At 35.6% G+C, this 14839-nt stretch overlaps 2 long non-coding RNA genes across 3 annotated transcripts in view; one reads left to right on the top strand and one right to left on the bottom strand.

The window, feature by feature from the left end:
* Positions 1 to 9836, top strand: part of LOC105370463 (uncharacterized) — a 117571-nt gene extending 107735 nt beyond the window's left edge. Inside the window, exon 6 of the long non-coding RNA XR_943786.3 lies at positions 9757 to 9836. This is a non-coding gene — a long non-coding RNA (uncharacterized LOC105370463). The remainder of the gene's footprint in view (positions 1 to 9756) is intronic.
* LOC105370464 (uncharacterized) overlaps positions 1 to 14839 on the bottom strand; it is a 47489-nt gene that overhangs the window by 24475 nt on the left and 8175 nt on the right. The window lies entirely within an intron of this gene.

Genomic DNA, 14839 nt, shown 5'->3' with positions numbered 1-14839 from the left:
ACTGCATTGACTATCAATCTAGTAAGTTCCTATTACAAACTGGTTTGGGTTTCATGAAGGAGAATTATCCCCAAGAATATGTAACATGATGTACAAAAAAATATGGCTCACAACAAATATGTTCCCAAAGACACCCGCGCTCCTATGCTGAGTCAGAATACTAATGTCCTTTGAGCCACAGCCAAAAATTCTAAGTGTGTGGTTTTAGTGTGCTTTTTTGCAAAGCTCAAAGCTTGTTGTCTAAAAAATGCAAATAAGTATTATTATAAAAGATCAAATGGAAATTGCTATGGGCTGAATCGTGACCACCAAAATTCATATGTTAAAGCTTTAACCTTCAATGTGACTGTACTGTATTTGGAGATAGTGTTTTCAGGAAGTAATTATGTTTAAATGAAGTCATCAGGGAGGAGCCCTAATTTGATAGCATTAGTGCCCTTATAAGGAGAGAGATACCAGAGCTCTCTACCCTATGAGAACACATAGAGAAGGCAGCCCTCTATAAGCCAAGAAGAGAGCCTTCACCAGAGCCCAAAAAGCTAGTACCTTGATTATGCACTTCCCAGCCTCCAGACTGTGAGAAAATTATTTTCTGTTTTTAAACCACCCAGACTATTGGGTTTTGTTATGCCAGCCTGAGCTAATACAGAAATGTATACAAGTGCCACTGCCGCTTTCCAGATTGAAAATTGAAGGAAATTTTTAGATGTGTATCCAAAGAAAGATATTGGAAAATAACTTAACACATTATATACAATATAAAGATATTTTAGCAAGGTATGTCAAAATGGTCAACATTTTCATAATTTGTACTTTTCAATTTTTTCTTTTATGGATCATGCTTTTGGTTTTGTATTTGAAAACTCATTGCCAATCCAGGCATGGTGGTGCAACTGTAGTCCTAAATGCCAGGGAGGTTGAGACAAGAGGATCACTTGAACCCAGGAATTTGAGGTACAATGAGTTGTAATTGTGAGAACTGCACTCCAGCCAGGGTGACAGAGAGAGACCTTGTCTCTAAAACAAATAATTAATTAATTAACCGAAAATAAAAATAAAAACTCATTGCCAAACCCTGTCACCTATATTGTCTCCTATGTTTTCTTCTAGAAGTATTAGAACTTTGAGTTGTACACTAATCAATGATCCATTTTGAGTTAATTTATGTGCAATATATTAAATTTGTGCCTAGATACATTTTCATATGGATATCCAATAGTTTTAGTATCATTTGTTGAAAAAACTATTCTTTCTAAATGTAATTGCCTTTGCTTCCTTGTTGAAGATTTATTGACTATATTTGTAGTCTATTTCTAGGCTCTTTATTCTGTTCCATGTCTATGTGCCTATTATTTTTCCAATCCCATACAGCCTTGATTATTTTAGCTGTATAGCAAATCTTGAAATTGGGTTTTCAAACTTTATTGCTTTCATACATTATAGTACAGCTATTTTAGATCTTTTATCTTTCCATATAAACTTAGATTCCTTTTTTCAATATGATGAAATAGCTTACAGAATTTTGATTGAGGGTGTCTTGCATCTATAAATCAAGTTGAAAAAAATTATATTAAAATATTGAGTTTTCCAATCCATGAACACAAAATATCTCCATTTATTTATATTTCCTTCAATTTCTTTAGAGTTTTATAGTTTTCCACATATAGGTTCTACACATACTTTGTTGGATTTGTACCTAATTATTTCATTTTTATGTGCAATTATGAATGGCTATTATAAATTTTGTATCTCAAATTACCACTGTTTATTGCTATAAAGTAAAACAATCGCCTTTCATATAATAACTTTGTATCCTGTGACCTCGCTATACTCACAGATTTGTTTCAGGAGGGGTTTGTTTTGCTTTTTTGTTTCATTCTTTGGAATTTTCCACATAGACAATCATGTCATTTGTAAGCAAAGACAGATTTAGTCCTTCTTTGAAATCTGTATTCTTTGTATTTATTTCCCTTTCTTGTCTTATTGAACTTGCTAGGACTTCCAGTATGCTATTAAATACCAGTAGTAAAACAGGACTTAACTTGGCTCGTATTAAGATATGGCCAAATATTCAGTTTCTCAGCAGTAAGTATGATGTTCACTGTAGGATTTTTTTGTAGATATTCTTTATAAAGATGAAGACGCTCCCTCTATTCCTAGTGTGCTTAGAGTTTTATTGAGAATGGTTGTTGAATTTTGTAATTCCCTTTTCTGCATCAATTGATATAATCATATAATTTCCCCTTTATAGCCTCTTGATGTGGTTTATTACACGAACTGACTTTCAAATGTTGAACCAATCTTGCATACCTGGAATAAATATCATTTGGTTTTGGTGTGCAATTCTTTTTTAAAAAAAATCATTGTAAATCCTAAATCAGATCACAGAATTATCCTGTTTTAAATTCTGCAACAGCTTTCTAGTGCTATTACTATGTTCTGTTCCCTCTGCCCAGAATATTTTTGCATAAATGGCTCCTTCTCACCCTCAGGCCTCAGATATCTCTTCAGAGGGTGCTTCTTTAAATTCCTATCTAAAAGTGTCCCCACTTCCAGTTACTCTTTATCACATCACCATATTCTCTTGTCCTCAGAGCAATATTTAAAATTTAAAAGTTTACTTGTTTGTGTATCTTATTTGCTTTTTCATTGAGAGTGGAAAAAATGTCTCTCTCAATCATTTATATATTTCCAGTGTCCAACATATATTCTGAATCATAGGAACTAAACAATATTTGTGTTTAGAGATCCTTGGAGGTTCTCTAGTCAAACCCTCATCTGTTGTTGAAATATCTGCCACAAACATCATAGACAAAGAGTTTCTGCCTACATATCTCCAGTTATGGGGATCCTATTACTTCCTGAGGCAACCCATTTTATCTTTGGACAACTCTGAAATCTCCATTTACCCCAGGTTTTAGTCCTGACCCCAGTGCTATGAAGAACTAATCTACTCACCTGAGAGCCCTTCAAATAATTAAGGCTCTCCAAGCCTGGCTTTACTAACCAATCTCTCTAGTTTTCAGTACCTTCACCATCCTAGGTGCTTTCCTTGGAGTGCATTCACTGCATTGATTTCCACCTTCAGGTGAAAGCCAAGAAATAAACCTGGCCCCCAGGAGTGGTCAGAGAAAAGCAAAGTGGAGACCAACACCGTCCTTATTCTGGGTTAGTGAATTTCAAAGCATTGTTTCCAACAGCAGCTCCACCTCCATGGTTTATTTTTAAGTAACATCTCATGTGGCACTTTAATAAACATAAAAACTGGGCGTTCTGGCTGAAATGGAGCGGGGGCCAAGAATCTCATTTTCTTAGCCTCTCCCTCAGTCTCCACCTCTCCTAGGCAGCCCTTAGGCAAACTCCTCAGAACCCTAAAATCTATTTCTATGCATTCCAACTCAAAGACTTTTCAATTTTGGTAGCTGTGCCCAAGGTTGACTCACAGTAGGATTATGGACAGGAAAACTCTGGAACATTTTTTTTAAAGTACATGAGTAACACATGAAAACAAGCTTTTGTAATTAGTCCAATTAAAAATAAAATAGAAAGAGCAAGAAACAGGAATGCTGAGGGGGTGGAGCAAGATGGCAGAATAGAAGCCTACACCTTCATTTCCCTTGCTGGGACACCACATTTTAACAACTATATGCACACAGAAAAACACTGTCACAATAACCAAAAATCAGGTAAGCATCACAGTACATGGTTTTAACTTCATATCATTGAAAGAGGTATTGAAGAGGGTAGGAGAGATTGTCTTGAATCACTGACACCACCTCTTCACCATTCCCCAGAAGCAGCAGGACAGCACAGAGAGTCTGAGTCTGTGCACTTTGGGAAGGGAAAGTGTATTAGCCTGTCTTCACGCTGCTGATGAACACATACCTGAGACTGGGCAATTTAAAAAACAAAGAGGTTTAATTGGACTTAACAGTTCCATGTGGCTGGGGAAGCCTCACAATCATCGCGGAAGGTAAGGAAGAGCAAGTCATGTCTTACATGGATGGCAGCAGACAAAGAGAGAGCTTATGCAGGGGAATTCCTCTTTTTAAAACCATCAGAGCTCATGAGACTTATTCACTATCATGAAAACAGCACAGGAAAGACTTGACCCCATGATTAAATTACTTCCCAGTGGGTTCCTCCCACAACATGCAGGAATTCAAGATGACACAGCCAAACCATATAAGGGAACCATATCATGTAGTGACTGGGGGGCTTTACATTGGACTTAGTGCTGCCCTGTCATAGAGGAGAATAAAGCCATGCTAGGCTCAGCCAGTGCCTGTGCATGGAGGGAGCAGTTGGACCAGTCATAGCCAGAAGAGAATCAGCTACCCAGCAGTCAGAATTTGAGTTTCTCAGTAGGCCTTGCCACCATGGTCCAAAGTGCTTCAGGGTCCTAGATAAACTGTAAAGGCATGCCTTGGACACAAGAACTGCAACTCTCAGTGCTAGGGTGCACTTAGAGCCAGTAGACTAGGGTGGCATGTGACCTAGGGAGACACCAGCGGGCATGGCTAACAGAGTGCTTGCACCATCTTTCCCCCAACCCCAGGCAGTGATTCCCTCCACAACAAATGCATCCACTTCCTTCTGCTTAAGGAGACTAGAGTGAAGAGTGAAGAGGACTTTGTCTTACATATTGGATATCAGCCCAGCCACAGTAAAATAGGGCACCCTCCTAGTTCCAGGTGGCTCAGCATAGAAAGAAACACTCCATTTGTTTGAGAGACAGTAAGATGAAAGCAAGAGTTTATTCCAGATAACCCATAGATTTCTTCCCACCAAGTCAGTACCTCTAAGAGTCTGCAAATCCAGTGTTGTTGAGCTTGGGGCACAAGTCCATTCAAATACATGGAAAGCCTTCTCAACAAGGATAGGCACAAAGAAGCCCAGACTGTAAATACTACAATAAATACCTAACTGTTCAATGCCCTAGCACCAACAAACATCTACAAGCATCAACCCCATCTAGGAAAACATGCCCTCAGCAAATAAGCTAAATAAAGCACCAGGGACCAGTCCTGGAGAAACAGAGATATGTGAGAATTCAAAATAGCTGTATTGAGAAAATTCAAAGAAATTCAAGATAACACAGAATTCTATCAGATAAATTTAACGAAGAGATTTAAATAATTAAATAGAATCAAGCATAAAATCTAGAGTTGAAAAATGCAACTGAGATGCTTAAGAATACGAGTCCCTTAATAGCAGAATTGATCAAGCAAAAGAAAAAATTAGTCAGCTTGAAGACAGGCTATATGACAATACATGGTCAGAGAAGACCAAAAGAAAATGAATAAAAAACAATGAGGCACAACTACAAGATATAGAAAATAGCCTCAAAAGGGCAAATCTAAGAGTTATTAGCCTTAAAGAGGAGGCAGAGAAAGAGATAAGGGTAGAAAGTTTAACAAATGGATAATATCTGAGAACTCCCCAAACCTAGAGAAAGATATCAGAATTCAAGTACAAGGTTGTAGAACACCAAGCAGATTAAACTCAAAGACTACCTCATGTCATTTAATAATCAAATTCTCAAAGGTCACAGATCTAGTAAGGATCCTAAAAGCAGCAACTGAAAAGAAACAAATAACATACAATGGAGCTCCATAAAATTGACCACAGACTTTTCAGTGGAAAAGGCCAGGAGATAGTGTCATGACATATTTCATGACATATGTCATGACATATTTAAAGTGAAGAAAGAAAAAACCTTTTACCCTATAGTAGTATATCTGGTAAAAATATCCTTAAATTATGAAAAAGAAATAATGATCTTCCCAGAAAAACAAAAGCTGAGAAATTTCATCAAAACCAGCCCTGTCCTACAAGAAACGCTAGGGAATTATTGCAAATGAAAGTAAAGAATGTAAGTGCGCAATAAGAAATCATCTGAAGGTACAAAACACACTGGGAAGAGGAAGCATACAGAAAATACAGGATACTAGCACATATAATGGTGGTGCGTAAACTACTCTTGTCTTAAGTAGAAAGAATAAATGATGAAGGAATCAAAAATAATAGCTACAGCAACTTTTCAAGACATAGACAGTACAACAAGATATAAAGCGAAACAACAAAATGTGAAACCGTGGGAGAATGAAGTTAGAGTTTTTATTAGTTTTATTTTTGTGTGTTTGTTTGCTTGTTTATTCCATCAATGTTAAGTTGTCATCAGTTTAAAATAATGGGCTATAAGATAGTATTCATAAGTCTTATGGTAAGCTCAAATCAAAAAAACATACAAAGTATACACATAAAATAGAAAGCAAGAAATTAAAGCATGCCACCATAGAAAATCACCTTTACTAAAAGGAAGACACAAAGGAAAGAAAAAAGAAAGATAAGACCACAAAACAGCCAGAAAATAAATAACAAAATGGAGGGAGTAAGTCCCAACCAAGCAATAATAACATTGAATGTAAATGGACTAGACTTTTCCATCAAAAGACATAGAGTAGCTGAATGGATGAAAAGACAAGATACAATAATCTGTTGCCTACAAGACACACATTTTACCTGTAAAGAAACACATTGACTGAAAATAAAGTGAAAATAAAGGCATGGAAACAGATATTCCATGCCAATGGAAACCAAAAAAAGAGCCAGAGTAGCTATATTTTTAACAGACAAAATAGATTTCAAGAGAAAAAATTGTAAAAGAGGACAAAGAATATCATTATATAATGATAAAGGGGTCAATTCAGCAGGAGGATATATTGACTGCAAATGTATATGCACCTAACACTAGAACACTTAGATATATAAAGCAAATATTATCAAAGCTAAGAGAGAGATAGACTCAAATACAATAAAAGTTACACAGTTCAACATCCCACTTGCAGCACTGGACACATCTCCCCAACAGAAAATCAGCAAAGAAACATACAACTTAATCTGCACTATGTAACAAATGGACCTAATAGATACATTCAGAACATTTTATCCAATGGCTGCAGAATACACATTCTTCCCCTCAACACATAAATTATTCTCAAGGATAGAACATATGTTAGGTCAAAAAACAAGTCTTACAACATTCAAAACAATTGAAATAATATCAAACATCTTCTTTGATCATAAATAAAACTAGAAATTCATAACAAGAGGAATTTTGGAAACTATACAAACACATGGATACTAAACAATATGCTCCTGAATGATCAGTGGGTCAATGAAGAAAGTCAGAAGGAAATTTAAAAACTTCTTGAAACAAATGATAATGGAAACACAACATATCAAAATCTATGGGATACAGGGAAAGAAGTACTAAGACAGAAAGTTATAGCTATCAGGGCCTACATCAAAAAAGTATACATATGTAACAAACATGCACGTTGTGCACATGTACCCTAAAACTTAAAGTATAATAATAATAATAATAATAAAGAAAAAAAGAAGCAAAATTTGAAACACATAAACGAATGAGGTATCTTAAAGAATGAGAAAAAGCAAGAGCAAACCAAACCCAAAGTTAGAAGAAAAGAAATGAAAAGGATCAGAGCAGAAACAAATGAATTTGAAATGAAGAAAACAGTAGAAAACAACTATGAAACAAAAGGTTGAGTTTTTGAATAGAAACAAAATGAGCAAAACTTTAGCCAGATTAGCTAAAATAAGAAGAGAAAGAAGACCCAAAAAACAAACTGAGAAATGAAAAAGGAGACATTACAACTGATATGACAGAAATTAAAAGGATCATTAGTGGGTACTATGAACAATCATCTGCCAATATATTGGAAAATCTAGCATAAATGGATTAGTTCCTAGACACATACAACCTACCAAGTTTGAACCATGTTGAAATCCAAAACCTGCACAGACCAGTAACAAGTAATAAGATCCAAGCCATAGTAAACAGTCTACCAGCAAAGAAAAGCCCCAACCATATGGCTTCACTGCTAAATTTTACTAAACATTAAGAACTAATAACAATCCTACTCAGCCTGTTCAGAGAAATACAGGAGGAAATACTTCCAAACTCATTCTATGATGCCAGTATTACCCTGATACCAAAACAAGATAGAGACACATTTAAAAAAGAAAACTACAGGCAAATATTTCTGATGAATATTGATGTAAAAATTCCCAACAAAATACCAGCAAACCAAATTTGACAATACGTTAAAAAGATCACTCATTATTACCAAGTGGAATTTATCCCTTGGATGCAACCATGGTTCAGCCTTTGCAAATCAATCAATGTGATATGTCATATCTACATAACAAAGGACAAAACCATATGACCATATTAATGGATGCTGAAACAGCATTTGATTACCTTCAATATCACTTCATGATAAAAACCCTCAGAAAACTGGGTACAGAAGGAACATACGTCAGCATAATAAAAAAACTATATGTGACTGACCCATAGCTAACTATATATGACTGATCTCATCACACTGAATGGGGAAAAATGGAAAGCCTTTTGTCTTAAGATCTGGAACGTGACAAGGATGCCCACTTTCAGCACTGTTATTCATCATAGTACTGGAAGTCCTAGCTAGCTAGAACAATCAGACCCTTATTTAAGTAAAAGACCCCTATTTAACTTTTGTTAAGTAAAAGAACTCAAACAGAATTCCGTGCATGTGTGTGTGTGCGTGTGTTTGTGTGTGTGTGTGTAAAGGACCATATAGCTTATGTTTTGGCAATTATAGATTTACATTGTACTTTTAAAGGTATTTTTTTAATCACAAACTGGTTATATTGATGAGTATGAAAACTAATTCAACTGTAGTGTTTGGGACACTGAACTATAATTTAGTACAATTTAATTTAATTTGTAATTGAGAAGGGTATGTTAATATTAGCTTTATTTTCTTTTTTTCTTGAAATGGTATCTTGCTACGTTGCCCAGGCTGGTCTTGAACAACTGGAGTAAAGTGATTTACCTCAGGCTTCCGAGGGGCTGAAATTATAGGTGTGCACCATCATGCTTGGGAAAGCTTTTAAAGATCAAAATAATACATAAAGAATACTCCAGTTTCACACACCTTTCTATGATAAACACGAATTCTAATTTCCTTATCATCCCCCCAGAAATATCTCATCTATATATAAGCATATAAATGTTTGTGCTTGTGTGGTGTATGTTTACTGTTGTAATTTTTAAAACTATTATATAAGACAGGCATTAAAGACTGAGAAAAATAGAGCAGGCCCTATATGCTGATCATGCTAAGAGGCTAAGAAATATTTTGTGATTTAAAAAAAATCAGTAGCCATATCATGAGTTCTAGGGAGAAGTCAAAAGGCAGTATAATAGAAAGAATTAATTTAAATAGAGGCATTAGAATATCTCTCCATACCACCCCACTGATAGCAACAAGAGACGACAAATTCCTAGGCAGACAGGGATGGGTCCCTGGTAAAACTCGACCTTCAATCCAACTACAGTCTAAAGCCTGAAAACCAAGCTATCAGTTTTCCACCAGTTCCAGATAGAATCCACAGACTGCAGTGAGAATTTCCATTCCCGTCTTATCCACTCTCTCTCAATTGGTTCTTTCTGAATGATACCTTTCAACCAACTGAATAGTGCCTTTTCCAAGCTCACCCATAAACCAGTCAGCACACACTCCTCCATTCTAAGCCCATAAAAACCCTGGACTCAGCCTCACACATGGCTACTCCTACCCACTTTCAGGTCCCTTCTTGCTGTTGAGAGCTTCTCTTTCACTCAATGAATCCTACTCTGCCTTACCCCTCTCTGATGTTCATGTACGTTATTCCTCTTGGTTGCAGGACAAGAACTGGAACTCACTGGACTGCAAGAGTGAAGGAGTTATAATGCTCCTGCTCTCCAAGCTGTGGGTGGCTGGAGTAACAGAGCTGCGACACTCCTGCTCACAGAACTACAGGAGTAAAAAAGCCACAGTACCACCATCATCACTTTACCCTTTATTTACCTGGACAAGTCAAGAGAGTCCAAGAAAAGTTCTTAAAGAACTTGGCTAACATGAACATTGTGAAGTTGGGGTTCGGAAGGAAAAGCAATTTGGGTTGAAAATCAAGAACATGTTTGTAGTTGTCTTCCTGGAGGGAAAATGAACAGAGAAACACTGGCCATGACCACTTGTGCACTGTGGGCATGAGTTTTATGTTTTTGTATCAAAATTAAGTTTGAAGTATTAATATTATTTTGTACTGTACTTACAACAATCAGAAAATGACAGAAGCTCTTACATCCATGAAATATTTTCACCCAGGTGACGGAAAGTAAAGATCTGATATACCTTTTTTGAAGGCATTAATGTGGTGGGTGCTATTTTGTCATTATGTCACTACTGTTTAGCTCTTTCAAGGAACTCATTTCTCATGAGTGAATTTTTTTCTACAGAAATGGAGCCATAATATTTATACAGCTTTCTTCCCATTTTTCTCTTAATAATATATACTTTGGAGAAATTTTCACATCAATTCATGTACTTCTACCTCATCATTTTTCCTGATTGTTTAATAAACAATTTTATGGTTGTACTGTAAGTTATTTAACCAGATGCTTACTGATGACATTTAGGTTGTTTCCCACCAATTATCTTGCATCAATATTTTAATTAATATGTACAAAATGGGCACTTGTCCAAATAAAAATATATCTGTAGGATAATTTCCTACAAATTAAATATTTATCAAAGGATGGCAGTTTTACATTTTGATAGATATTGCTAAATTTTCCTCAATGGAAATTAGGAATTGTTGCTTTTGTTATTATTTTTATTTGAATTGGTTTATTGTCTCATGTTGTTGAATGTATTTGTGTGTTTGATTACCATTTATTATTAGATAAATGCAAGGTACTTTTATTTCAGTTGCATTTTGTTTAGGAGAAATTAGAGGTGCCTACTATCTCTTAGCCAGCCCCAAACTCTATCTCAGAGATCCTGATCTTACTAAGTGGGCAACAGGCCAGTTATCCCACTTTGTTTGACATGGTTGATTACTCAAGAGTTGGACAGCTGATTCACACTGGACCAAACAGATTCTCCTCTGCTTCAGATTGAAATCAGAACTGAAAGACGCTAGCTACTGTCTGTTTGGTCTTTATAGCTTGAAACTGCTGTCAAGATTGTCTATACACTGATTTCTGCCTTTTGCATCAGGAGGCAAGAAAAGTCAGTCTGTAGAGATGGAGGGAAAATAAAGCAACTGTGCATTACAAAGCAGAGGTGCAAATCCACATATCTTCAGAACAAAAACAAGAGGTGTGAGAGGGAGGGAGGAGAGAGGGAGGGAGGGAGAGAGGGAGGGAGAGAGAGAGAGAGAGAGAGAGAGAGAGAGAGAGAGAGAGAGAGAAAGAGAGAGACCTAGACCTAGCATAGCAAGAAAGCAAGAAAAATTATTTGGTTTTGGTACAATCTAATGTCTAGGCTTAACTACCTTTGATGCAAAGCTGCAAAAATACCCTGTTTTCTGAGCTACTCCCATGTTCTTATAATAATTCTCTAATAAGAAAATTATTAAGCTGGCTTATAAATTATTAAGCAGGTTTATGTGACTCTATATTACTTATAACTAATAAATTCAGAAACAGACATTGTAATAAATCAAAAGTTTGTTTCCTGATTACTAAGAGGAAATAACCTTAATGTATGATTAGCAATTGTTTCAAAAAATATTCTTAGTCACAATGTACTGAAAGATTGATATCAATATCCTGAAAAAAGCAATAAAAATAAGTCTAAAGCAAGATGATAGAAAAGTAAAAGGTAGATACAAAAAGTAAAATGAAGCTATATTACTATGTGAACAGTTTTTGCAAGTTCAGTGAATCATTCTATCCCATTCATTTTCTTCTTTACTCCAAGAGAAATTTGTTTTTATTTGTAAAATGTTCCACAATTGAGATTTGCCTAGTTAGTTTTTTCAGTATTAGCTGCAATGTTGTACCAGGGTAATAAAAAGATCTAATTTACATTTAAAAAGAGAACGTGTGTAGAAAATGGTTCAGTAAGGTCAACAAGAATTCTACTGGGTTGGCTCTTCATAAGTTGTAAGAAGAAGAAAGGAATCAGTTGGTGCAACTAAGTGGAGGGTAGTGTCACTTACTGAGATAGTGCAGATTAAGAAATGAGAGAACTTGGTCAGGTGTGGTGGCTCATGCCTGTAATCCCAGCACTTTGGGAGGCTGAAGTGGGTTGATCACAAGGTCAGGAGCTTGAGACCAGACTGACCAACATGGTGAAATCCGTCTCTACTAAAAATACAAAACTTAGCCAGGTGTGGTGGTGTGCACCTGTAATCCCAGCTACTCAGGAGGCTGAGGCAGGAGAATTGCTTGAACCCGGGAGGCAGAGGTTGCAGTGAGCCAAGATCGCGCCATTGCACTCCAGCATGGGTGACAGAGTAAGAATCCGTCTCCAAAAAAATAAATAAATAAGTAAATAAATAAAATAAAAAGAGAGAGAGAGAGAACTTGGTTAGGAAGAGACCAGAATATTGTTTAGAATATGCAAAATTTAAGGTAACTATTAATCAGCTCCAGGGAGAACCAAGGAAGGCAATTATTGAATAAATGTGTTCAGATTTCTGCAAGGAATTTATGGCAGGATATAAATATTTCAGAACCATGATACAGAGAAGGATAGCTGGGAGCATGCTTAAAACCATATAACTAAATAATCATAACCAGAGTAGTAGAAGAAAAGAGGCCAAGGAGAGAGGCTGGAGAATTTCCATATTTAGAGATCAAGTAATAGAAAGGAGACATTAGAAGAAACTGAGAGAGAACATTGAGTAGGAGGAAATCAAGAAGAAATTCACACTGGTGTATAAAATGTGGGATAAAAAACTGGAGAGTGGCAGGGTGGGAGGTGGTTGAGGGATAAGAAGTTATTTAGTGGATACAATGTACACTATTCAGGTGATGGCTACACCAAAAGCTCAGACTTCACTACTACACAGTATTTCCATGTAACAAAACTGTACTTGTAGCCCTAAATCTATATAAACACAATGGAGTACTATTCAGCCAAAAGAAAAAAAAATGAGATCATGTCATTTGCAACATGGGTGGAACTGGAGGACATTTTGTTAAGTGAAATAAGCCATGCACAAAACGACAAACTTTGCATGTTCTCACTCATTTGTAGGAGCTAAACATTCAAACGACTAAACTCATGGAGATAGTAGAATGATGGTTACCAGAGCCTCAGTGGGGCAGTGGGAACGGGGAGGAAATGAGAAAGATTAATGGGTACAAAAATATAGTTAGGTACAATGAATAAGTTTCAGTATTTGATAGTACAACAGGTTGACTATAGTCAGCAATAATTTGTTGTACATTTTTAGAATAACTGAAGGAGTACAATTGGAATCTTCATAACACCAAGAAATGATGAATGCTTGAGACGATGGATACCGCATTTACCCTAATCTGATTACTACACGTTATGCCTGTATCAAAATATCTCATTTACCCCAAATATATTCACCTACTGTGTATCCATAAACATTAAAAAAGTTTAAAAAGTAAAAAATAAAATAAAGTGTCTTAAAGAGGAATTGTCAATGATAATTAACGTTGCTCGGAAGTCAAGTAAGATAGTAAGAGAACCATGACAATCTGATATGTCTTGATTAGCAGTTCAGGAGAGTTGCTGGACAGAGTCCCAGATGGAGTTAGCTGAGGAGAGACTTTAAGTGATGACTTATAAAGAACAGTGAATATAATCCATACTTTTAGACTTTTTGTTGGTTTTTTGAGAAAAATGGAGTACCAATATGTAGCAATAGCTTCAATAAAATATGAGTTGAATAGGTTATTTTGTTGTTTGCTTGTTACTTTTATAACTATGAAACAACTGGTTATGTTACTACTATTATGAGAATGAAGTAGGAAAGAGAGAAAGATAACAGCAGAAAAAAGAGAATAACTACAGGAGCAAAATGGTTGCAAATGAAGTAATTTTGGAAGCCCATGCTAGAATGAGTGGTATTCTTAGAACAACTTATTGGTTATCCGTTCAAATCTGTGTTATGGGTTCAAATATTTGGTAGATGGGGAAATACCAGAACTCCTGAAAATGTATGTGATTATTTGGCTGGAAAGAGAGGTTAAAAATAGATACAAGGCTACTGGTACCAAGGCTGCCAGGGAATGTGGAAGAAGGGAAGATCATGTTCAGAATAAGTATCACAGTGCGGTTTTGCATTCTTGTAGCAGAACAGTGATGTGGTCAGCTTGGTTGTCATCAGGTAGATGAGAAGCCAAGACACTAGAAGGCTGTGATTTTCTAGAACTTTCCTCCATAGGGCTTAGTACTAGACAGAGATATCAATAAAATGGGTTAGATTCAAAAGATGTTCTAAGGTTTAGAGCATCTACAAAGTTCTAGATACTGTATTTGGTAAAAGTGAAATTGTAACTCATTAGAAATGATCCATATAAAGATTTAAGGACAATTCATTACTCACATAGGAAAAAGCATTTTTAAAACATTTAAGTTCAGGTGGATTAAAAATGGAAATGTGAAAATTAAAACAAATGTACAAATTAAAAGTAGATGCACATAATCTTGCAGTGAGGAAAGATTTTCTCAACTAGAGGTAGGCAAAAAATCTTCAAGAAAGTATGTAAATTTTACTACCAAAAAATTCTCATTTCTATCCATTAAAATAATCTAGAAATTTAAGTACAAACAATAATGTGAAGGAAACAGAAACACACAAACATTATATATCTACACATACATACATATGTGTATATATGTATGTGTATATACATATGTGTGTATACATACATTATATATGTAATATACATATTACATATGTTATATATTGCATATTACATATTACATATATATGTATATACATTATATATGTAATA

The sequence above is a fragment of the Homo sapiens genome, chromosome 14 (genome assembly GCF_000001405.40).
Source record: "Homo sapiens chromosome 14, GRCh38.p14 Primary Assembly".
In the NCBI taxonomy this organism is placed as follows: Eukaryota; Metazoa; Chordata; class Mammalia; order Primates; family Hominidae; genus Homo; species Homo sapiens.
The sequence above is the reverse complement of the archived record's forward strand: the minus strand, read 5'-3'. Positions and strand labels throughout refer to the sequence as shown.